Here is a 24,152-nt window from a genome sequence, read left to right as displayed (position 1 = left end):
TCTGGAACTTTTCCAATTCCCTAACTCCTCCTGCCTCCCTCTCCACCAACGTGCCCCCACTCCTACCCTCCAGCAGATAAACACCTTGAACTACAGGGCACAGGCATAGAAATCAGAGAGGCAAATGAGAACAAGCTTCAAAGGAGAGAGGTTATAATGGCAGGTCTATCCAGGCAGGTCTTTCTCACACAGAATAGCAAGACTTTCACCAGACCTCATCTCTGCAGCCTCAGAATCATAACTTAATAACACAAAGGGCATACAGCTCTTATGGGTGGACTTGCATTAAAGTTCAAAACACTGATGGCTAAAATCTGAGTGTCAGATTATTGATTTACAATGAGAACTTTAACGGAACACTCCTATCCCCCAGCCAACAAATTTTATCTCCCCTCATGCACACTATATAGGAAGTCATGCTTTAATCAGAGGGTTACTTGCTGAGCGGAGAGACTCAGGCCAAGTTGAGATAATTATGTGATTTCAATGTTTAATGTCATCAGGCTTCTTGAGCCTGAAGCATCCATCTCCACAGTAAGATACACCTTCAAAAGATATATCCTTGACTCTGGAAACCTTCTTCCCTCATCAGAGCTGAGTGGGCCTTGAGGTCTACCATCCTCTGTCCTTCAGAAACTCTTTTTCAATGCTTCTTTGGCCAAGCAACTCCCTTTTAATGGATCTTTATTTCTTTAGACATGATAATCTAGCACTTTACACCTGAAAGAAATATCAAGATATTTTTTCAGGTATAAAGATTTTGTGCCTTCATTATTTGTCGATTATAATGCTTAACTCAGAGCAATGTTTCCAAACTTCCCTTACAATAGGAATGACTTAGGGCTCGTTGTTGGAAAAAATTCAGCTTTCCAGGCTCTTCCCTTGGAGATTCTAATTCAGGGAGTCAGTGACTAGGGAAAAAGTGACAGTGTTAACAGGTACCCAGGGGATTTTCATATTCAGAGAAATTTGGAGAACAATCTAATACACCTTATTTCTATGCTCTTCACTAAGGTTCCACTATGGACAATATATACTCACAACATTTACACTAATTATGTGTATACTTATATAAACCCTCATAAAATCAGGCTGGGCGCGGTGGCTCACGCCTGTAATCCCAGCACTGTGGGTGGCAGAGGCGGGTGGATCGCTTGAGGTCAGGAGTTTGAGATCAGCCTGGCCAACATTGTAAAACCCCATCTCTACTAAAAATACAAAAAATTAGCTGGGTGTGGTGGTGGGCCTCTGTACTCCCAGCTACTTGGGAGGCTGAGGCAGGAGAATGGCTTAAACCCAGGAGACGAAGGTTGCAGTGAGCTGAAATTGCACCACTGCACTCCAGCCTGGGTGACAGAGTGAGACTCCGTCTCAATAAAAAACAACAACAATAATAATAAAATCAATCACATCAGGTCTGAGAGGGAGCATAACACAGGGATTTAAATGATTGCTTCTTAAACTTAAGCACCGCTTTTGAAGTCACCCCCTAGTTTTGAGGTTCACACCCAGTTGCCCTCAGGAAGTAACTGATGCAGTTTGGCTGTGTCCCCACCCAAATCTCCTCTTGAATTGTAGCTCCCACAATTCCCACATGTTATGGGAGGGACCTGGCAGGGGATTATTGAATCATGGGGGCTGTTTCCCCCATTCTGTTCTCGTGGTAGTGAATAAGTCTCACGAGATCTGATGGTTCTATATACGGGGAAACTGCTTTCACTTGATTCTTATTTCTCTTGTCTGCTGCCATGTAAGATGTGCCTTTCGCCATCCGCCATGTTTGTGAGGCATCCCCAGCCAACTGGAAATGTGAGTCCATTAAACCTCTTTTTCTTTATAAATTACCCAGTCTCGGGTATGTCTTTATCAGCAGTGGGAAAATGGACTAATACAGTGACCTTGTATGTTTTACTTAACCTCTCTATAAACTCAGTTTCCTTGTTTTTAAAATGGGGATAATGCTAATATCTTCCTCAAAGGATTGTTATGAAGATTTTATGGATGTTAAAAGTACTTAGCAGAGTACCCATGGTAAATTCTGCATAAATGACAGTTCTCATTAACATTTTGGTGCCACGGCTTGGTTTCAGCTCTCAAAACCAGTAATGAGTGCAGATTTAAAGACTTTGTTGCTCATAGGTATATCTTCTAAAACAAAAATTCTCAAAGCAAAAATTGTTATAAATAATAAGATGACTATTTTCACCTAACAGTGGGAAGATTAAGTTTCTGCATTTTGTTGATTCCAGGAATCACCTTAACTGGGTTTCATTAAGCACATTCCCCTTAATGTATCTACTCAAACAGAAAAGAATCTTGTGTTAACAAGCTCTCCAATTGACAAAATTATTTTCACTGTAGCCTGAACCCCAATTGTTAGAAAACTGTTCCTTTGCTTTATCTCTTAAGGTTAGATTATCACAAGAAATGATCAACCTGTCTTCAAAAATATATTTTCCATAACTTAAGATTATAAACTCGGCCCAATTTGGCACATATTGGAAATTAATAAGTGCTACTGAATGTATAAATAGATGGATGGATAAATGAAGAAATAAATGTAATATTCCTAAAAATCCTTTTTCAACTTTCCTCTGTCAACAAAATCTAAGTCTGAGCTTTACAATACAGCATTTTATCAGAAGAAGAAAATGATTTTAGACATACTTCTCCATTATGGTACTTTCTAATTCAGTGATTCTCAATTTGGGCTGCATATTGAAATTACCTGGGGAAATTATACTGCTTCCAGGGTTTTACCCTTCCCTGGAAAATCTAAAATGATTGGTTTAGGGTGTGGTGTGGCCACTGGGAGTCTTAGAAGTTCCCCTGGTGTTTTTAACGTGCAGCCAAGGTTGGGATCCACAGTTCTATCTACTATGGATAATTGATATCTCACTGAAGAAGTAAATTCAAAAACAATATATAACTCTTGAACGTCTTACTGAATTTGAATTATACTTCGGCTCCATAGATAGAATTATAAATTGTATTGCTTCAATATAGATCCCAGGTACTAATGCCCCTTGAAAACTTGTATTATAATCATGCCAGTATAATTAGAATTGGAAAGAAGAGTCTTTTGAGAGATCTAATAATGCTTTTAAATGATGTGAAAATCAAGTTATGCTCTAGCCTTTTTTCTTTTAAACTTATATTTAAAAACTAATGCAGCTACAAAAAAATAAGATATGTGCCCAACTGCCATATACAAGAGGAAGAAACAGCTGAGCCTGTTTGGGGTCATTATTTTCAGAAAGAAGTTCTCAACAACTATGCTATATAAAACTATTATGATGAACATCCTTTTGCTTTTTAGCCAGGTGGTTCTACAATACTTATAGGTACTGAAACAGCTTCTAACATATTTGTCCCATCTGCTTTTGTAGTTGTTGCTCTATTCTTTCTGTTCTCTGAAAATATAGCACAGAATATGAATCATGTTCAGCATCATATGTGAATCATTTAAATCCCACCTAACAACCCAATTAAGGCGTGAAGGCATTATGTTATGTATCAGTGAGTAAAAAACTACCACAGAGAAATGAGTTTTCTTAGTAAATTGATTACTTAAGAAAAATGGCAACACAGAAGTAGACTTCTATTTCTGTAGATTTTAGCAATGGAAAAGTATATGTCTCCTTACAATATTTCAGCAAATTATACTTTGAATGCTTTCCCAACTTTTAAAATGTAAACATCTTTTAAACAAAGCAAGAAGGGCAACAATATATATTTTTATATTAAAACTCCATTAAAGAAATATCACATAAATAGATGGATTAAGATTTAACAGACATAAAAATCATGCTTCTAAGTAAAAAGCTAAAAAGAATAAACCAGTGGGTATTTATAAAATGCTCCCCTCATTTTCATTATGTTTTGTTTCATTAATATACATTCACAGGTACACACCAATAGAAAACAGAGAAACTGGCTCTAAATCTAAGCTCTGCTGGCCCTATCTTTACTGTAAAAATTGAACAATGGCAGATAAAATGTAGAAGTAAAAACAAAACCATAACTGGACTTTAAAAAGAGATAAACCGGCCCATGGACCAGAGACAGAGCTGAAATAAGAGCCACAGGTTGCCAAAACTCTGGGTCCAACAGCAGGCAGTGGTTGGAATTCAGCCACTAAAGGGATGAGGGGACTAAAACCTCACCCAAATGAGGTACAGGGTGCCAGAGTTCATTTACTCAAGCATCCTCAGTGAATCTTCTCTTCCTCAAATAAAAACAATGATTTACTTAAGCACATGTAGGAAATCTGATTCAGAGGGCAAACAAGACAATTTGCTAATATCTCTCATGCAATTGGGGCAGGGAGGTTTATGGGATGGGTTATGTGACTGCATGGTACAAAACACAGTCTTCCTCAATCTGTGTTTTTCCCTCTGTTTGCAACTCCTTTCCTGTGGTATCTCAAGGGGGGTGGGTAAAGGGATCTGTCAGACCCAGTGCAGACAAAATTGGTGTACAATGTCCGTAGAGAATTTAAAAATAATAACAGGATCAACTTATTTTCACCAAGCTCCAGCAAAGGCACTTCTAAACAAAGTCAGTGATTGATATGGTTTGCCTGTGTCCCCACCCAAATCTCATCTTGAATTCTCACGTGTTGTGGGAAGGACCTGGTGGGAGGTAATTGAATCATGGGGGCAGGTCTTTCCTGTGCTGTTCTCGTAATAGTGAATAAGTCTCACGAGATCTGATAGTTTTAAAAAGTGGAGTTTCCCTGCACAAGTTCTTCTTGTCTGCCACCATTTGAGACATGCCTTTCACCTTCAGCCCTGATTGTGAAGCCTCCCCAGCCACGTGGAACTGTAAGTCCAATAAAACTCTTCCATTTGTAAATTGCCCAGTCTCAAGTATGTCTTTATCAGCAGTGTGAAAATGGACTAATACAGTGATCAAATACTCCTATCAAAAAAAAAATCTTTCATCAGGGTAAATTCTAAAGAAGTGATGTGGTTGCTACTAAATTTTAATAACATATTGGTAAATTGCAAATTTGAGCTTTTAAAAAATTATTTATTCTTTGATAAACACTGTATTCTTCATGAAGGAAAACTAGGAGAACTCCCAGGTAAAACTAGGAGAACTTCCAGGTAAAGTGTATACACTTTACCTGGAAACTGGGGAACTAACTCATCACAGAATTCCAAGTTGAAGACAGTTAGGAATCTCTTTCTAGCTAGCTTGGGGGGCAATTTCTACCTCCATCACCTCTGAAGCTATATATTTCTGCATTTAACTGGTAGATTTGTTTTTTTTATTTGGTTTTGTTTGTTTTGTTTTGTAGAGATAGGGTCTTAGTCTTGCTCTGTCTCCCAGGCTGGAATGCAGTGGCACAATCATAGTTCACTGTAGCCTCAACCTCCTGGACTCAAAGTGATCCTCCTGCCTTAGCCTCCAGAGTAGCTGGGATCATAAGCTCGAGCCACTGCACCAGGCTATTTTTATTTTTATGTTTTTATAAAGATGGGCCCTCACTTTGTTGTCCAGGCAGGTCTCAAATACCTGGCCTCAAGCGATCCTCCTGCCTCAGCCTTCCAAAGTGCTCAGATTACAGGTGTGAGCCACCATGCCAGCTAACTAGTAGGTTTTAAACAAGCAATGATAGCATTGTGATTGCAAAGATGAAGAAACAGAACTTGTTACTTCAATTCTGTCATTCTATGTAGCCACTTGGAATTTTTATGTTTAAAATATTTTGACTGTAGGGACATTTGAAAGCTGCTAGAATCAATCCCAAAGAAAGACATGGAGAGCAATGAAATTTATTGTGAAATAAGATTTTTATAAAAATCTCTGCCAAACTATCCTTAAAGACTTTTCTAACTATTTGTATAACTGTTGCTTTGTGTCAGAGAAATATATCAAACTGAAAATAAAAAGTAACCTCTGATCAACTAAGAGTGAAGATAGATTAAGCAATCTGTCTATACTTGCTAATAAACTTAAACATGCAAAAATCTATTTTGCTGAAGCCGTTGACAGAGGGCTTGAACACAGAAACTATATTATTCATTTAGTGACAGATCATTATGTAGATATTATTTTTCCTTTTTTAAAAAATGCATTAGTTAAATATCAATTCATTATGTTTTCCTTTGTTGAAGGTATTTATTTTAGTCTCTAAATTTATTAATTTTTAAATTTTTAAGTGACGTGACTATATATGAAATTCAATAAAAGATAAATCTTCACTGTTTTCATCACTTTCACAGCCACTATGATTAGTTTTATTTCATAATTATTAAAAATAATTTTGTCATATACAGGAGGGAGGTGTCAAAGAAAAAGATACAGGCCATGCACTGTGGCATGCACCTGTCGTGCTTGTATTTGGGAGGCTGAGGAAAGAGGATTGCTTGAGCCTAGGAGTCTGAGGCTGTAGTACTCAATGACTGTGCTTGTGAATAGCCACTGTACTTTGGCCTGGGCAACATAGCAAGATTCCATCTCTAAAAAACAAAAGGAAAAGATCCACTCTTAAAAAGTCAGATATGTTAAGTGAGTCCCTGTTCATCCCACCATCAAACCTCCCAGTTTGTGAAGCTGATAGGTGCAAAGTTATTGCAGTAAAACCCATTATTTCTAAATTGAGAATGAAGGAGAAGGTTAATACTCCTAGCATTATTTATCTGAAAGGAACTAATTTACCCTACTAAATTTTTAAGTAATGAAATTAGAATGAGTCCAGAAGTCACAAATGTGTAGTCCAAAACCCAGATTCTACACAAAGATATATTTTACATAATTTATACATTTCATGGAAAAGAATAGAAAGCCAATATGTTGCATTCTAGATATCTGACTTGAAATTCAAATATTTTACTCTGAAAATGGCAAGATCTGATATCACTGATATCCCACTGATACCACCATGGAAGGTAATTGAATCATGGGGGTGGTTTCCCCCATGCTGTTCTCATGATAGTCAGTGAGTTCTCACGAGATTTGATGGTTTTATAGGCATGTGGCATTTCCCCTGCTGTCACTCATTCTCTCTCCTCTGCCCTGTGAAAAAGTGTCTTCTGTCATGATTGTAAGTTCCTGAGGCCTCCCAAGCCATGCGGAACTGTGAGTCCATTCAACCTCTTTTCTTTATAAATTACCCAGTCTCAAGTATTTCCTTATTGCAATGTGAGAACGGACTAATATAATGTAGTTTGAATATTGAGATTTGAGGGTGGCTTTCACAGAGCTTATAGGACTGTACACAGGAAGTCTGGGAGTTAAGAAAGAGGTTACCTGAGCTATTTGCTTACTTTCTGTAAGTGACTTGAGAAAAACAAACTATGTTCTCCAGCAGCCAAACTGGAAAGAGTACAGTTACTCAAATATCTGCTTCTACAGCCAATATCTAAACTCACCTGGCAACTCAATCCTGCAATGAAATCCACACCTATGGCTCGCCCTCCAGAGTCCTCGCTTCTTGAAATAGCTGTACAAGATCTCTCTTTGAACTATGATCTAACTTCAAAACAAGCTCATTTTGCAGAAAGAACAGCTTGTAGTCTATTATATAGACAATATAAGAGAAAGGCCAAATGGCATTCTTCAAGAACAAACAGTTTCCTTCAGTTTCTTGGAAAGGAAAGTCTATGCAAAAAGTACTTTTCTCCCTGGATCAATAGTTTTAGGTTTTAACCTCTTCAAAGTACATAACATTCACTAAGATTTTCAAAAGAAAAAAAGGAACATACTGTAGGTAATTTATTTTTTGTTTGTTTGTTTTTTGCCATGGAGACATTCTTTGTGACTGCAGGTAATTTCTAAGTTGTTGCATTCCAGGTGTGAATATGCTAATTAAAACAGCATGCACCTGTCCTGACCATAAGATTGAAAATACAGGAAAGTGAAAGAAAGACCATGAACTAGAACAGAGATACTAAAAGCAATTAAGGACGCTGAGTTGGTGTGATTTTCCTGTGTTTAAGTCTTACAGAAGATGGTTCTAATTTTTAATTCAAAATCAGTTGGTTCACATCTTAGCTTCCTAACCATATGGGGGATTTCCATCCCTATCCCCATCACCACCTCATTGCTGTCATCAGCATTACAGAAGATCCCATTACCCTTTCCCAGTGTCATCTGTCCTTCTTAAGTAGGTTTCCCAGTAAAGAAAGATTTCCTTTAAAAGGTTTTTTTTTTTTTTTTTTTTTTTTGAGACGGAGTCTCGCTCTGTCGCCCAGGCTGGAGTGCAGTGGCGGGATCTCGGCTCACTGCAAGCTCCGCCTCCCGGGTTCACGCCATTCTCCTGCCTCAGCCTCCCAAGTAGCTGGGACTACAGGCGCCCGCCACTACGCCCGGCTAATTTTTTGTATTTTTAGTAGAGACAGAGTTTCACCGTTTTAGCCGGGATGGTCTCGATCTCCTGACCTCGTGATCCGCCCGCCTCGGCCTCCCAAAGTGCTGGGATTACAGGCGTGAGCCACCGCGCCCGGCCAAAAGGTTTAATACTCTTTTCTCTTCTACTTTGTTTTTTTTGGTAAGTTATAAAATCTAAATAGTTCAGCTATTTTAGTTTTTAAATATATTTTTAATGTAAAGAATTTGTTTTCCAAAAATTAGTTTAAGTAATTCTTAAATAGTCCATCATTTAGTATACTGTAAAATCTAATTTATTTTCATCAGTTTTTATGGATCTGAAATGTTTCGGAATTAAAAGAAAGATAAAACTTGGTCAAATGTCTAAGAAATCATCATCTGATTACATAAAGGACATAATGGAAAAAAATCTGAACTTAATTATATGAATACATGGGAGACTGCTAAATTTTTTCACTAAAAAACAAATAGAGAACTACTTATAATATTCTTTATGCTTCATGGCTGGTAAAATAAAGGCTCTAGTTAGAAATGGTGTGGCATTAACACTACGTGGCATAATTTTTCCATGAATCATAGCCAAGTTCTGACATTTATGCTGAGATGAGAAGAAGGAGTTAAAGAGGCAATGGGAAATGATTCCAAGCAAACCTAAAAAAAGAGAATAACTGAAAATGCTAGTTCTAAATATCATTTGCTTCTTTCCAGAAAGGATATGTTTTAATTTTATAAAGCATTAATGATAATATCTACATATAATTCCCTTATTTGATCAAAGAACCTATGTATCCAATTTTCATTTTCTTTCTTTCCACTTATTTTCATTTAAACCAGAGGAAAGACTATGACTGGGAAATTAATACATTTGGAAATATACCTATAGTGGCCCATAATAACATATCTGAATAATTTAAATTCTCATGCTCATTGCCATCAGTTTAGTTCCCATTGTTTTTACTTGTCTACTCATAGGAGGAGCATTACAAAGTGAAAAATATGCCGAGGCCCCTAGTTGTGATCCAAGGGACTGTGAGCCAGACCACTCTTAGCAGTCTCTCCTTCCAGCATGCCCGATTGTTCACAACTGGTGGAAAGTCCTGGTTAATTTGTCAGTTATCATCTCTGGAAGATATATACATTAAGCTATCATCTGCATTAATATCTTAGGCCACATTATTTTATTAGATTAGCCTTCTAGACTAGAAGAAAGTTCTAGAGCAGAGATTCAAGGCACTGGTGTCCCTCCAACCTGATCTAGACCTCCCTTGTATTCTGTTACCAGTGATATAGTGTTGGTTGGCAAATGTCCTATATCTTAGGTACCAACATATAAAAAGGCAATTTCTTTTTGAAATCTAAATTTGAGTTTCTCTTGAAAGGCCAGATCTGGCAACATTGCCTATCTCTCCCCAATGCCAAGTGGATTCTGCAGGAATCCAATGGCACTGCTTGTTTCAAATGAAACACAGACTCTCCAGTTGGTCACGGTTGCCTCCATCCCTGAGTTTCTCCGAACCCTGATGCTAAATGTCTGATACCATTAAGAGGCTTTTCTGACCATTGAAACTCCTCCATCTCTAAATCTGGTGACTCTACCCCATTTTGTAACTGAAAAGTATAGCAGCTTAGCCTCAGACTACATTTTAAACTTTTTTTTCTTTTCCCTTTTCTCTTCCCCCTCCAAATCTAAAGATGTAACTTTAAGACAAACTGCATATGTGCTACCTTTCATCTCAAAATACAGCCTTGGAATGTGCTGTGAACCTCGACTCCCTTTCCTTTTCCATACTATACTCCCATGCCTTGTGCACGTTTATTTATCTCGATGCTTGTTAACCACACACCACGCTCTCTTATCTGGTCACATATTTCCTTAGAAGTGTCAGGGGTCAGATCCTGATAGGGACGAGACAGCTCCAGAATTCTCTCTCCAACAAAAGATTACTTCAAGTCCAGAAGTCACTCCCGACTGAAGAGTGACTACAGAATTGACCTATTATGACCTGGCAGGACCCACGATGGCGCCAGCTCCTTTACCAAATGGGACAATAATTCAAGGTGAGCCACGGGAGCAAGTCAGGCCACCTGGCACCTCCTAGCTCCCTCCTTACCTCTTCTGCATTCCAAACCCTTTCTTTAAAAACCCACGTTCCCTCCACAAGTTGAAGAGTGGAATTCCTTTCTACTCTTCCCATTGCTGGCATGAATAATAAAGAAATATCACTCTTTATTATGATAATTCATTATTATTTTGACTTCTTTCCACAAGCTGCAGGCAGCTGGATCCTTTTGCCAGTTGCAGTTTTACTCTTTTCTCTTTTCCTGACGATACTTATCATTCTCGAAAAGAATCTTACTTGTCCTCTTGTTTACTTGTTTATTCTCTGATTCCACTATACTCTAGAATTGAAGTTCCAAGCTAGCAGAGAGCTTCCCTGTCTTACTGACTACAGTATTCTCAGTGCCTAGAATACCACTTGGCACAACAATATCTATTTGTTAGATGACAATAACTACTTGTTATCATCGTGACTGCATTATTGTTTTTCACAAGGCAGAGAAATATTTCTCTGTATGCCCATGACCTTATGTAAAGGACTTGAGGAAAGAAGTTACATTCAAAGAAACAAAAATCCAACAGAGCTTCTGGTCTATTTGTATCTGGTCATTTCACTGCCTGCAATATAAAAACAATGGGATCTAAACTGATGGTAATTAACATGACTTTTAAGATCATTCAGAGAGTTTAGTATGGACCACTAGAAGCATATTTAAAACTATTAATTTCCCAGTCATGATCCTTCCTCTGGTTTAAGTAAAAGGAAGAAAATGTATTTTTTTCATTTATATTTGTTTCATTGAGAAGCCTTAATTGTATGTATTTGTGGAATACAGTGGGATATTTTGATATATGTATACAATGTGAAATGATTAAATCAATATAATTGACATATTTATTACCTCACATGCTTTTCTCTGGCAAAAACATTTGAAATTTACTCTTAGCAATCTTGAAATATGATATATTACCATTAGCCATAGTCACCATGCTATGCAATAGACCTCAAAAATTTATTCTTCCTAAGTGAAAGCCATTTGTTCCTGTGGAAAATAATGATTTTAAGACCCTTGAAGTGTCTTGCTAGGGTACATTCAACTCTAGCAATTTGATTGTCATGCCAATCTTGTTTTTCACGCTGGGCTCCATACACTTTTTTCTTTTTTGAGGTGGAGTCTCACCCTGTCGCCCAGGCTGGAGTGCAGTGGCGCAATCTCGGCTCACTGCAACCTCCGCCTCTGGGTTCAAGCAATTCTCCTGCCTCAGCCTCCCAAGTAGCTGGGACTACAGGCACCTGCCATCACGCCTGGCTAATTTTTTCTATTTTTAGTAGAGACGAGGTTTCACTATGTTAACTAGGCTGCTGGTCTCGAACTCCTGACCTCGTGATCCACCCACCTCGGCCTCCCAAAGTGCTGGGATTACAAGCATGAGCCACTGTGCTTGGCCTCATCCACATTTTTAAAAGCACATTAAAAGGCTCTATGTCCCATCACCAAGCAAATCTGGGTGGATTTGAGCATAAATATTCATTAGAACCTCCCTCCACCTCCTCTTAAAAATGCTCTACTGAAATGGAGATTTTGACTTTTAGAATAATGAAGAATATAAAAAGCCTTTATTCTGAAAAATTAACAGATTAATAAAATAGCATTTCTCTTTTTATTAAGATGAGTTGTCTTATTTTTTTAAGTAAATTTCAATGTACTGTGCTTATTGTAAGAAAAGCATGTTATTTTTCAGAGGGTGGAATAGCTCCTTAATAATGTGTTATAATTTCTGCATTCTCTGTTAATCCCCAATTAAATGCAGCCAGAATTATTTTCATTTTGGTACTTAGTATAAACTTTGAAGCTCTCCTTTGTCTTTGGTAAAAGTATAAGAGGCCTTAGATTCTGCTCCTTTAGTTAGGGACTTACTACACAAGCCATCTTACTACACAACCCAGCTCTCAGTTGTTTTCTTTTCTCTCAAAAGAGGGAAACAATAAATGAATCATCGTGAGAATTAATAAATCCCTGTTAATGCAGTGTGCTTGAGTAATGTTTTGCAAAGTCTGTTTTGAAGAGAGGGCCTGTATCCTTTCTAGATAAAACTAAAAACCTGGGAAAAGAGAAATATGCTTTCAGAGTATTTCAGAATAGGAACATTCAAAATAAGGTAAAATTTTTGTTTTGTTGTTGTTTTGGTTGTGTCTTTATCACTGCTACTTTTTTTCTGAATGGAACCCCACTCTTGGAAAATCCGGTTGCCTCCCAGGTGAATCAAGACAAATGAAGAGTGATGATTTGCTGTTGCCCTCTGCCTCTCAGTGTCTATAAAATCTAGCTTCGGTTTGAACAAAACAGGTGCCCTGGTGTTTTCAGTTCTACATCTGCTGCAGAATCTAATTATAGCATTGATGCCCGTTTAATCTGATTGGTTTCCATTGTGTCTTTGTCTATGCTCAGGGCCTTGTTTCCGAGTCATTTCACTAGCCAGTTGGTCTTTGCCACATTCCATTGAAAGAGTGTGATTTGGTTTCTCGATTCATCATATCTTATTGTTTTTTGTGACTTGGAACTGTAATGTCACAGTAAGATTTCTTTTCTTTGTCTAAGAATGTTTTTAAAAAGACTTCTAAAATTTCTATGACAGAAAGTAAAGAGGTTTAGTTAGAATTAATCTATGAATCTCCCATAAAAAGTATCTGTAATGTATTGATACAAATTCCTTCGCAAAAGCAAACAAAAGTTTACTTCAAATAAATTACACTTAATTATTATTAACTTTATTTTACCAAAACAGTAACAAAATGTGGTATAAACTATTGATAGACAACTGTTGTCTTTCCAACTGTCACATTCCTCCTTCCCACTTCTTCCTTCCTGGCCAAGATGTCATTCAATGACAGAGTCTTAAAATGTCATACATCATTTTCTTTAAATTTCTTTGCAGCTAGGTTATGGGGTTGTGATCCAATCCTGCAGAAGAGACCAAAAGGAAAGTCTGCCAGGGAGCTTCTGAGAAAAGTTTTCCTTCCTATTAAAAAGATACGTGGGAAGAAACTGTCCATCTTTTATGACAGATGATGTTATCTCTACATGTGATACCTAAACTACAGCTACACCCTTACATTCAAGAGGTTAAAATAAATCTAAGGTCCAAGACAATATTCTGAGGATGAAGAGCTGAAATATAGAAAGATATGAATCCTTTATAATATTACTAAGCTGTCAAACCAATCCTGAAAGCACTTTGACACTTACTTTTGTTAAACTTTTTAAATTGGGTATTCTATTACTTACAACCAAAAGAATACAATGGAAAATCACCACATTAACTGATAGAAAATGTGATTATTTTTATGCAATGCAGAACTATATCTGTACCAAATAATATGTAACTAAAAACCTAAATTACATTTATTGAAATGGTGTCTATTCTCTTACCAAATTAAAGCAAACTTCTTGAATAACAATTATTTTTCTAATTTTGTACTAAAAATCACTTTTAAATGGATTCTAGTCCTAATGACATTCTCCCCCTCAAACATGGTATTGATAATTCAGCTGAGGCTCTTTTTAGAGTGGTTTTAGTTTATTTATTTATTTGCTTATTTTTGGTTTTTACTTAGGGATGAGGTTAAGGGAGAGTTTCCACAATGTCAGACAGAACTCAGAATTGAATATATTTCAATTCAATTCAATTGAATATATTGACATCTGTTTTTTAAGATATTATATAATTGTATAGGCATACATCCAACAATGAAAACTACAAATTCCCCATGATAACCAGTTTTTTAAATGTGTCCTAATAGTCTGATTCATTTTGAGTATATAAAGAAGTCTTACCTTATTTTCCTCGCAACTCTTTTCTTCTTTTTCTTTTCTTTTTTTTTCTTTTTTCTTTCTTTCTTTCTTTCTTTTTTTTTTTTTTTTTTTTTGAGATGGAGGAGCTGTGCTTTTTTTGCCCAGGCTGGAGTACAATGGTACACTGCAACCTCCGCCTCCCGGGTTCAAGTGATGCTCCTGCCTCAGCCTCCTGAGTAGCTGGGATTACAAGTGTGTGCCACTATGCCCGGCTAACTTTGTATTTTTAGTAGAGACGGGGTTTCACCATATTAGCCAGGCTGGTCTTAAACTCCTGACCTCAGGTGATCTGCCCGCCTCAGCCTCCCAAAGTGCTGGTATTACAGGCCTGAGCCAGTGCGCTTATTTTTCTCACAACTCTTAATATATGTTTCTTAAAAGAAAAGCTTCCTTTTAAAAGTTAATACCAACAAAACAAGTGGATAATTTATAAGCCTATCACCTACCCATGATCCACAATAACTGAGTTACTTCTTTTCTTGTAGCAAGGTCAAAATAGAGTTCTAATCTACCGTGGGTAATTTGGATGAAGAGACTGGCTTTAGGAAGAAGGTAAACAAGCACTTCACTTTGGCTGATAGCCTAGATAAATTTAATGTGTGAGTGGAGTCACAGAAATGGGATAGCGATTAATGGAGAAAAAGAAACATGAATTTCACATTAAAAAGATTAGGCAAATCCCAACCTTTATTATAAAATATCTGTGAGCCTACAAAGATGATTTATAATACTGGAAAAGCTTTAGCTATGCTTTGGCTAATGCTCCGGGGAGGCTCAGAAAACACAATCCAATTTCCTAGTGGTGTACAAAAGAGACATACTTTAAAATAATTGCTATTTTAAACTGTAGGCTTCGTGGAGCTATTGGCATCTAACCACAACATAAGGATCAACAGAAATTGTTACACTGCCACTTTAAAAATGTGATATTTTTTGTCACATATTTCACAGCCCATGGCAAGAAAAGCCAACTACGTGAAAGAATTGTTTCAACTGATGCGCACACCTTACCTTGGCTGATTCACCTTAGAGACGAACAAACAGAAACAAACTGGAAGTCACGAAGCAATATAACCTGTTAATTAAGCTTTTGGAGTGATCCAATTGCTATTCTCTGGGAAAACAAAGCTGTGGCTCTCACACACAATTTATGTTTTTGAAAGCACATCCTTCCTTTTAGGCATTTTGTTTTTTTCAAAATTTTCTAGAAGATTCAGAAGTATTTTGTTCCAGGGTTAATTGTAGGAGCACACCACAGCAATATGAAAGATATATTTACCTGTCTGACATCTCAGGCAGTCTTATTTAGCTCTTAACCAGCACAAGAGCAGGTTTCTTAGAGAATTTTTACATTGTGAATTATGCCTCCAGAAATGTGACTTATATCTGCTTTACTTTAGCCCAATCATCAAACTCTGATGGTTTTCTGCTGCAGGCTACTCTGATTGTTTATTCCATTCTGACAGCCAGTTTTACAACTTAGTGTTCTAAAGTAGCATCGAACCAGAGTCAAGCAATTTTGTTCTAGCCCCATTATTGGTGTGATGGACTATTCAGTATTCAACCTAATACAGAGTTTCATAAACAGCTTCTAAGGGCTAGAAATCTGCCATAGCTGAAGCTTGTTTTCATGGCTGATTTATCCAAAGACACTGCTTCACAACCAAAAAATCTTGGCAAGTAATCAAGATGTTGATCAGCTCAAAGAAAACTTTATTATTTCTCAGCTTTTAGCATCCCTCTGACAACAGTCAGAGACCAGATGCCAATTTGGTAGTTTTGGAAGGAATCTTATGATATTACTGTTTAAATTTACTGAAAAAGCTCAATGTGATTAATTAACTGCCTCAAAGTAATGGTCTGTCTTTAAGGTAAGAGCATAAGATAAAGTAGGGTAAACATACATAGAATATTTAGTCATTCAATAAATATTGAGTATCTCCCTCTTTTGGGGTATTGTTCTAAACACTAGAGATACACAAGAAAGATATCGTCCCAGATTTTCTTTAAAATAATTCAGTGTGTGGGTGGGTAGGGGAGGGGTGAATTTGAAAGGTGTTAGTGGATGAAATATGAGGGGCTTGTTTTGATGATTCTTACACATGAGTGGTGAGTACATGAAGGTTTGTTACTCACTAGTTTTATTTATCTTTAAAATATCCCATTAAAATATTTTAAATTAATAAAGACCACAGAGGTCCAGAAATAACAAAAAGATAAAAGAAATACGCAGTCTCTGCTGTCATGGGATTGACAGTCTGTCAGGGAGGGAAGACAGACATTCTGAAAGTATTGAAAGGAATTAAGAAACTATTCAATTCAATATCAGAGAACTGCAAATTAAAACTACAATGAACATCACTAGTCACCAGAAATTAATATCTGAAAATACCACGTGTAGGTGAGGACATGGAGTAATTATTAACCCTCACACACCTCAGGTGGAAATGTGAACTAGTACAACACTTTGGAAAACCACTTGGAAGTTTATTTAAAAGTTAAAAATACACGTACCAAATGACTCAACTATTTCACTGCTAGTTAATTACCCAAGAAAATGAAAACATGTCTGCAAATACTCATATTCAAATGTTCATAGTAGCTATTTATAATAGCTAACAACTGGAAACAAGGCAAGCGCTCAACTCTTGAATGGATTAAACGAACTGTGGCATATCCATACAATGGAATTCCACTCATCGATAAAAAGGAATGAACTACTGATATTAAACTATGTGCGAATCTCAAAAGCATTATGATAAGGAAAAGGAAATGGTCATAAAAGACTACAGACTGTGTGTATCTGCTGTTTCTTGCTGTCCCATTCACATTTAGCATACATGATGCCCCATGAGCACAGAATTCAGGTAGACCCACAATGCATGGGAATACGACATGACTGAAAGAATGTACAAGGTAAGTGCATAATCTGTACAGCTAAATACATGGGACACTGACTGCCCTGAGAAGCCAGGCTTTCTGTTCAAACTATAGCTGCTTCAATAAAAGCAGGACCGACTGAGGAGCCCAATCATATCCTTTCTTACATTACTTGCCTGTATTATGTAGAAAATGATGACATAGAAAGAAAGGAAAAGTGGGGTAACCACTAGAGAGTGTTAGTGGGATGTGCACATACCGAGAAGTGAAATACAAACAGCTGAGTTGGTTTTGTGCAGCATTTTCACATATGCATATATAAAACACAACCTGTGTAATTTGGGTGATTTTGCATTTAAGATAAATGCTTTTATATTTATATTTAAAGTTGGCAGTGCCATAATATGAAGAATGGTAAATTTTATTCTAAAAATTTAAATATTTAATGTTTAAACTTAGAACATTAAATAGCAAATAAAGATACCATGAAAAGTTGAAAGACACACCAGAGAAGAAAGGAAAAATCTTTTATATTTGATTACCTTAAATGGCACAATTTTTCCTGCTTTTTGAACAAGGAGCCCCATATTTTTGTTTGGTAATGGGCCCCACAAATTATGTAGCCCTGTCTGGACTTGACCCTGAAGGACAATGGGGCATGGGGTATCATGGAAAGATATCAGAAAGGAAAATCACATGACTGAGTTTGTGCTTTAGAAAGCTTGCTCTGGGAATAAGGTGGTCCCTGGATTTGGGGGACAAATACATTGGAGTAAAGGAATCCAATTATAATGATGACAACAGGGATGTCGCTTGGTAAAAGGATGTAGATTTTGAAATATTAAGAGTTAGAGTTGCCAAGACTTGTTGACATGCCTTTTGTTATCTATCCTATATTGATATTAAAAATCCTTGAATTCTCAAAATAATTTTATCTTTTAGACACTGTTTCTCAAGTTTTTGGTATCTATGAACTACCTTGATGATGTTTGGCTTCACAAAGACCACCAATTTTAGGTAAACTTACAGATAAGTTTTTCAATGATAAAATATACTCTTTTAAAATTTAAAGTAATTAAAGTGTATTTATATCATCGTGAGTAATGATGTTATTTGCTACTTTTCAACTAAAGTAACAACATCTGTCTGGCACAAAGGTCAGCCTTCCACATTGAGGTTTGTTTTTTCTCTCTTTTTATCTCATATTTTAAAATGCTCATTCAAATAGTAGATCAAAATTAGAATGACTATCGTCTGAGCTTCCCAGATTTTACTGTTGTCCAAGTATAACTATTAACAGCACCCCTTTTGCTCTCACCTGTCTACCTTGTACATAAATTACATGCTCACCCCACCCAGCAATATGGCAGCAAATGTTCGGTGACTCTGTTCAATTAGTTCTGGATATCTGGATCAAATACACCCGATATAGTGGGATTTCTGACTGAAAAATGTTTTCTGTGCTGCATCAGAGGCTAATCAGTGAGCACATCATCCCAAAAAGTTGAGGGATCAAATGTTTTAACACAAGAGATAATAGCAAATGGAGTCTTAACCTGTTCATTACTTGTTTTCCCATTCAGGGCGTGTTTTTTCCTGTTCCTATTGCAGCACTTTGGGTGTGGTATTTAAATAGGAAGCAGACCAATGTGAAAGAGACTTCTTTTAGTCACACAATATTTGTGTTCTCCTTTTCCCTTAGTATAATAATAGATCTTTGGATTTTAGCTGGGCACATGGCCATTAGAATAAGGACTACATTTCCTAGTCTCTCTTGCTGCTAGATAGGGCTGTGTGACTCAGTTTCAACCAATGAGATATAAGCAGAGATAGTGTGTTCAACTTTCTGGAAGAATAATTAAGGAAGGAAAACATCTAATTCTTCAATTCTTCACATAATTCTTTCCTCAGTTCTTCTGAGCAAATTTAACACATCTGAATACTACCACCCAAATGCAATATTATCAATACATTAGCCTATGGCAGAGGTTGACAAACTTTCTCTTTTTCTTTTTTTTTCTTACTTTTTTTTTTTTTGAGACAGAGTTTCACTCTTGTTGCCCAGGCTGGAGTGCAATGGCGCGATCTTGACTCACCGCAACCTCCACCTCCCGGGTTCAAGCAATTTTCCTGCCTCAGTTTCCTGAGTAGCTGGGATTACAGGCATGCGCCACTACACCTGGCTAATTTTGTATGTTTAGTAGAGACAGAGGTTTCTCCATGTTGATCAGGCTGGTCTCAAACTCCCAACCTCAGGTGATCCACCAGCCTCGGCCTCCCAAAGTGTTGGGATTACAGGTGTGAGCCACTGTGCCCGGCCGACAAACTTTTTCTTAAATGGTCAGATAGTATCATAGGTTTCTAGGGCTACATGGTTTCTGTCACAACTACTCAACTCTGCCCTTGTAGCCCAAAATTAGCCATAGATAACACAATATGAATGGATGTGGCTGTGTTTCAATAAAACTTTATTTACATAGTGGCCAGGTCATCAACCATAGTCTGCTGGCTCCTGGCTTAGATTGGTGTTTTCCAGCTTTTTGCACATCAGAATTCACTAGGGAAATTTTAAATATACAATGTCCAGGGCCTACACCCTGAGCTTCTGATTTAATCAGCTGGGGTAGAGCCCAAATATTTGTTAAAATGTCTCACTATAATTCTTCTGTGACGCCAGAAAAAAAACATGCTTTCCATGCATTAGCTTACTTTTCAAACATCGTCAATCTTGGGAATTTCTTAGGAAGAAATGGTTAAATGTCCTGGATGGTTTCTTTTCTATTTGTATGTGTTTTTAATACCCCTAACTGCCCTTTCTCAGACAAAAATTTATGACACCATGTTTTGTTTAGTTAGACTTTCAGTGGCCTAAAGGCTCTGAATGCTAATGAGATAATTTGGCTGGAAATTCCAGATTGAGGCAATTAAGTCATGACCTGTGACAAACTAACTGTGCCTTAATTGTGAGGTAATTGAAATTCCTTTATTTGAAAAATATAATGGAAAAACAAAGTTTATTTTAATCACCTGGCCAAACTTTCAGAAAAATAGAATTGATAGTTATCATGTTAATTCTACGGATGTGTTACAGGGGAAAATGTTAATTCGTTTTCAGTTTGGGGCTGTAAATGTGGATCTAATATATACCACTTTGATTATTCTTGATCAAAAACTTTAAAAGGCTGTGTAATACAAAAATTACATAGCATCAAAATGTGCTAAGCCATACATAAAATTGTTGCTGGCATAATCCAGAAATAGAAAGGGGGTCTTCAAAAAATTCATGGACAATGCAAATGATAAAAAAAACTCTGGCTGGGCATGGTAACTCATGCTTGCAATCCCAGCACTTTGGGAGGCTAAGGCGGGCAGCTCACCTGAAGTCAGGAGTTCAAGACCAGCCTGGCCAACATGGGGAAATCCCATCTCTACTATAAATACAAAAATTAGCCGGGCATGGTGGTGCACACCTGTAGTCCCAGCTACTCTGGAGGCTGAAGCAGGAGAATTGCTTGAACCCAGCAGGCAGAGGATGCAGTGAGCCAAGATCATACCACTGTACTCCAGCCTGGGTGTCAGAGTGACAGTCTGTCACAAAAAAAAAAAAAAAAAAAAAAAAATGAGATGACATTGAAGATGAAGCCCACAGCAGCAGACCATCACATCATTTCATGAGGAAAAATTAATCATTTGTTCCCTAATTGAAGAGGACTGATGATTAACAGCAGAAAGAATAACCAACACCATAGACATCTCAGTTGCTTCAGCTCACACAATTCTGACTAAAAAATTAAACTTGAGCAAACTTTCCATTCAATGAGTGCCAAAAGCATTGTGTCCAGATCAGGTGCAGAAAGAACTTTCAATGGAAATATTAAACAAGTGGGATCAAGATCCTGAAGCATTCTTTCACCTTGGCAGACAAACAGATATATGTATACCCTGAAGCATGTCTTTGAAGAATTGGAACAGGTGATGAAATATGACTTTACCAGGATGATCCTGAAGACAAAGCACAATCAACACAAGGCTACCAAGAGGTGGAAGTGGTCCAGTCAAAGTAGAAATAGCCTGGTCAAGGGCAAATGTCATGCCAAGAGTTTTTTGGGATGCTTAAGTTATTTGGCTTGTTGACTTTCTGGAGGGCCAATGGATGAAAAGATCTGCTTATTATGAGAGTATTTTGAGAAAGTTAGCTAAAGATTTAGCAGAAAACACCCAGGAAAGCTTCACCAAGGAGTCCTTGTCCACCACAACAATGCTCCTGCTTGTTTCCCTCATCAAATGAGGGCAATTTTGTGAGAGTTTATATAGCAAATCATCAGACAACTAAACTTACAGTATTGATTTGGCTCCTTCTGATTTTTTTTTTTTCCTTTATCTTAGAAAATCTTTAGAAGACACCCTTTCTTTTGTGAGTAATATAAAAAAGACTGCACTGACATGGTTAAATTCCCAGGACCCTCAGTTCTTTAGGGATGGACTAAATGGCTGATACTGCTTAGAAAGGTGTCTTGAACTTGATGAAGCCCAAGTTGAGAAATAAAGTCTTTTTTTTTTGTTTTTATCTTTTAATTCGATTTTCCATGAACTTTTAATTCCATTTTTCCATGAACAAGCCCCCTCATATATTAGTGTATGTACCCATAGCTTATAAAAATTTAGGTCTAAATTAAAGATGTGGTATGACTCAGGTATTCAGTAAACATCATGAAAAAGTGAATGGCCATAAAAGAGTAACAACACTGTTTAGAGTGCCCCATATAAGTGAATTTTCCAGATAACAATAGCTGGCCCCTTAAAGTGACATTATTTTTTAATAATTTATTTTTCTTCAGCTTTTATTCTATGTTCAGGGTACATGTGCAGGATGTGCAAGTTTGTTGCATAGGTGAAAGTGTGCCATGGTGGTTTGGTGCACAGATCAACCCATCACCTAGTTATGAAGCCCAGCATCCCTTAGCTATTCTTCCTGATGCTCTCCCCCCAACCACCCCATTAGGTTTTGAGAGAATTCTTTCTGCCCTCTGGAACAGAATTGTATCTTCTTGGTGACTCAGGACCATCATTGTAAGCTTGGGTTATTATACTGGGCTAGGATGCACTGACATCTACAGGGGCCTCAGAAAAAATGGGTAAGAGTGTGAATTCTGGGGCAAGATGGCCAGGTTTAAAATTTAGCCCTCCCCCTAACTCTACTAAGTGTACCTAGACTCGTTACTTGCACTCTGGTGTCCTCATCCACAAAATGAGAATAATAATAGTACTGCCTCACCAAGCTGTTGTGAGGATGAAATGAGTTCATACATGTAAAAGATTTAGAAGAGTGCCTGATAAACGTGCATTACTATTACCACTATTCTTGAGGTGTTTAGTTGTTCACAAAATAGTCCCACACTTTCTTTTGATGTTGTGTTTGTTCAGTGGACATTCATTTTTTTTTCTTCTGCTCTTTTAATTTAAGGATGTTGAGGTCATATCTAGGGCATCAAGAAGCCATGGCCATTAGCCAACCAGGATGGGGGAGATAGGCAGTGGAACAGTATCTACACTGTCAGCATTCAACCTGCTCAGCCAGCAGACAGTGCCAACACCAGATGTTGAGATGGTGACAAATGTAGGGTCAACACTTGGCCATTCCCTCAGTTCTTCAGCTGTGGCCTGGACAGTCAGCCACAGGGTTTCATGATGAAGGGTCATGAATTCCTAACATGGGTAAAAACTGACAAAGGGGGCTTGGATTAGGGACATTTAGTAGTCTAGTAGTTTCCAGGAAGCTGGCACTAGAAATGTCCTTCACCAAGTAAAACAGCTCTACTGTCTAAACAGGATTCATTCATGTGCTGTGGCTAACCGCTGAATGGGAAGGACCACAATCTAGGAGGAGTTTCTACATCAGTTATCAAATAACACCCTGAAAACAGGAATCCAGGATGAAGCCCAGTTAGGAGAATTAAGGGAAGGGCGGGGCTCAGGAATAAGGGGATTCCCAGTCATTACAACAGAGACAAGACTTCAGGGTCAGATCTACACCAGAGATAACTAAATGCTGACCCTCGGGAAGTGGTTCTTTAAGTATTTAAGTTTCCATTGTTCTTGGAATTGAGAATGAAGATGAGCCCATACAGGAAGACCAGCTGATCCTAGAGTTTTGTATGATAGGGTATAGAGTATGGAAAAGAGGGGAAAGATACTGGGATTTGGAAGCTATTTAGGCTTAACAGCTGAGTCATTTCTTGTTGCTGTCAGTGGACTTACCTCTGACAGTATTACGCATCTCTCTCTACCAATCTACTAAGGTACTTTAAATTTGTTATCCACTAATGTACCAAAAAGTGTATGTACCTATTTATTTTAATTGTGTGTAAAGTAAGAGTGAATAAACTCTCTAAATGAGACCTCGAACAGTCCTCTTATGAATAAGTAATACACATTCCCAAGTAGAACTTGTACTACCGCTTTGGCTGCTCTGAAATCTTTTTAGTTTTCTCCAACATTGTATCATATATTTAAAATAACCAGTTGTGGGCTGGGCTTGGTGGCTCATGCCTGTAATCCCAGCACTCTGGGAGGCCAAGGCAGGCAGATCACCTGAGGTCAGGAGTTTGAGACCAGCCTGGCCAACATGGCAAAACCCCGTCTCTACTAAAAGTACAAAAATTAGCCGGGCGTGGTGGCGGGTGCCTGTAATCTCAGCTATTCAGGAGGCTGAGGCAGAAGAATCGCTTGAATCCAGCAGACGGAGGTTGCAGTGAGCCGAGATAGTGCCACTGCACTCCAGCCTGAGCAACAAGAGCGAGATTCTGTCTCAAAAAAAAAAAAAAAAAAACAACAAAAAACTAGTTGTGATGGCAAAATAAATGAGATGTTGACAACAATTCCACAGAAATGATTCTGCCTGACTCCTTTCCCCTTTCTAATGGTAGCACTCTTTCCCTCTTAGGAGTAATGGGAAGGTTTGACCTTACTGTCTCGGTCAGGTAGGTTCACTGACAGAGTTCTCCTGCAGTCCCCTAGTT

The 24,152-nt window shown here is 37.6% G+C and overlaps 1 long non-coding RNA gene across 1 annotated transcript in view, besides 1 other annotated feature; it reads right to left on the bottom strand.

Moving 5' to 3' along the window:
• Positions 1 to 24,152, bottom strand: part of SNHG31 (small nucleolar RNA host gene 31) — a 153,377-nt gene that overhangs the window by 48,347 nt on the left and 80,878 nt on the right. The gene's annotated exons all lie outside the window — the stretch shown is intronic.
• Positions 10,288 to 10,789: an enhancer, noted in NCBI's record as "NANOG hESC enhancer chr2:215769194-215769695 (GRCh37/hg19 assembly coordinates)". NCBI's record gives its function as "activates a minimal SCP1, AML or CMV promoter by ChIP-STARR-seq in naive H9 embryonic stem cells {active_cell/tissue: H9 hESC(naive)}" and the evidence as "EXISTENCE:reporter gene assay evidence [ECO:0000049][PMID:30033119]".

Source organism: Homo sapiens, chromosome 2, assembly GCF_000001405.40.
Source record: "Homo sapiens chromosome 2, GRCh38.p14 Primary Assembly".
In the NCBI taxonomy this organism is placed as follows: domain Eukaryota; kingdom Metazoa; phylum Chordata; class Mammalia; order Primates; family Hominidae; genus Homo; species Homo sapiens.
The sequence above is the reverse complement of the archived record's forward strand: the minus strand, read 5'-3'. Positions and strand labels throughout refer to the sequence as shown.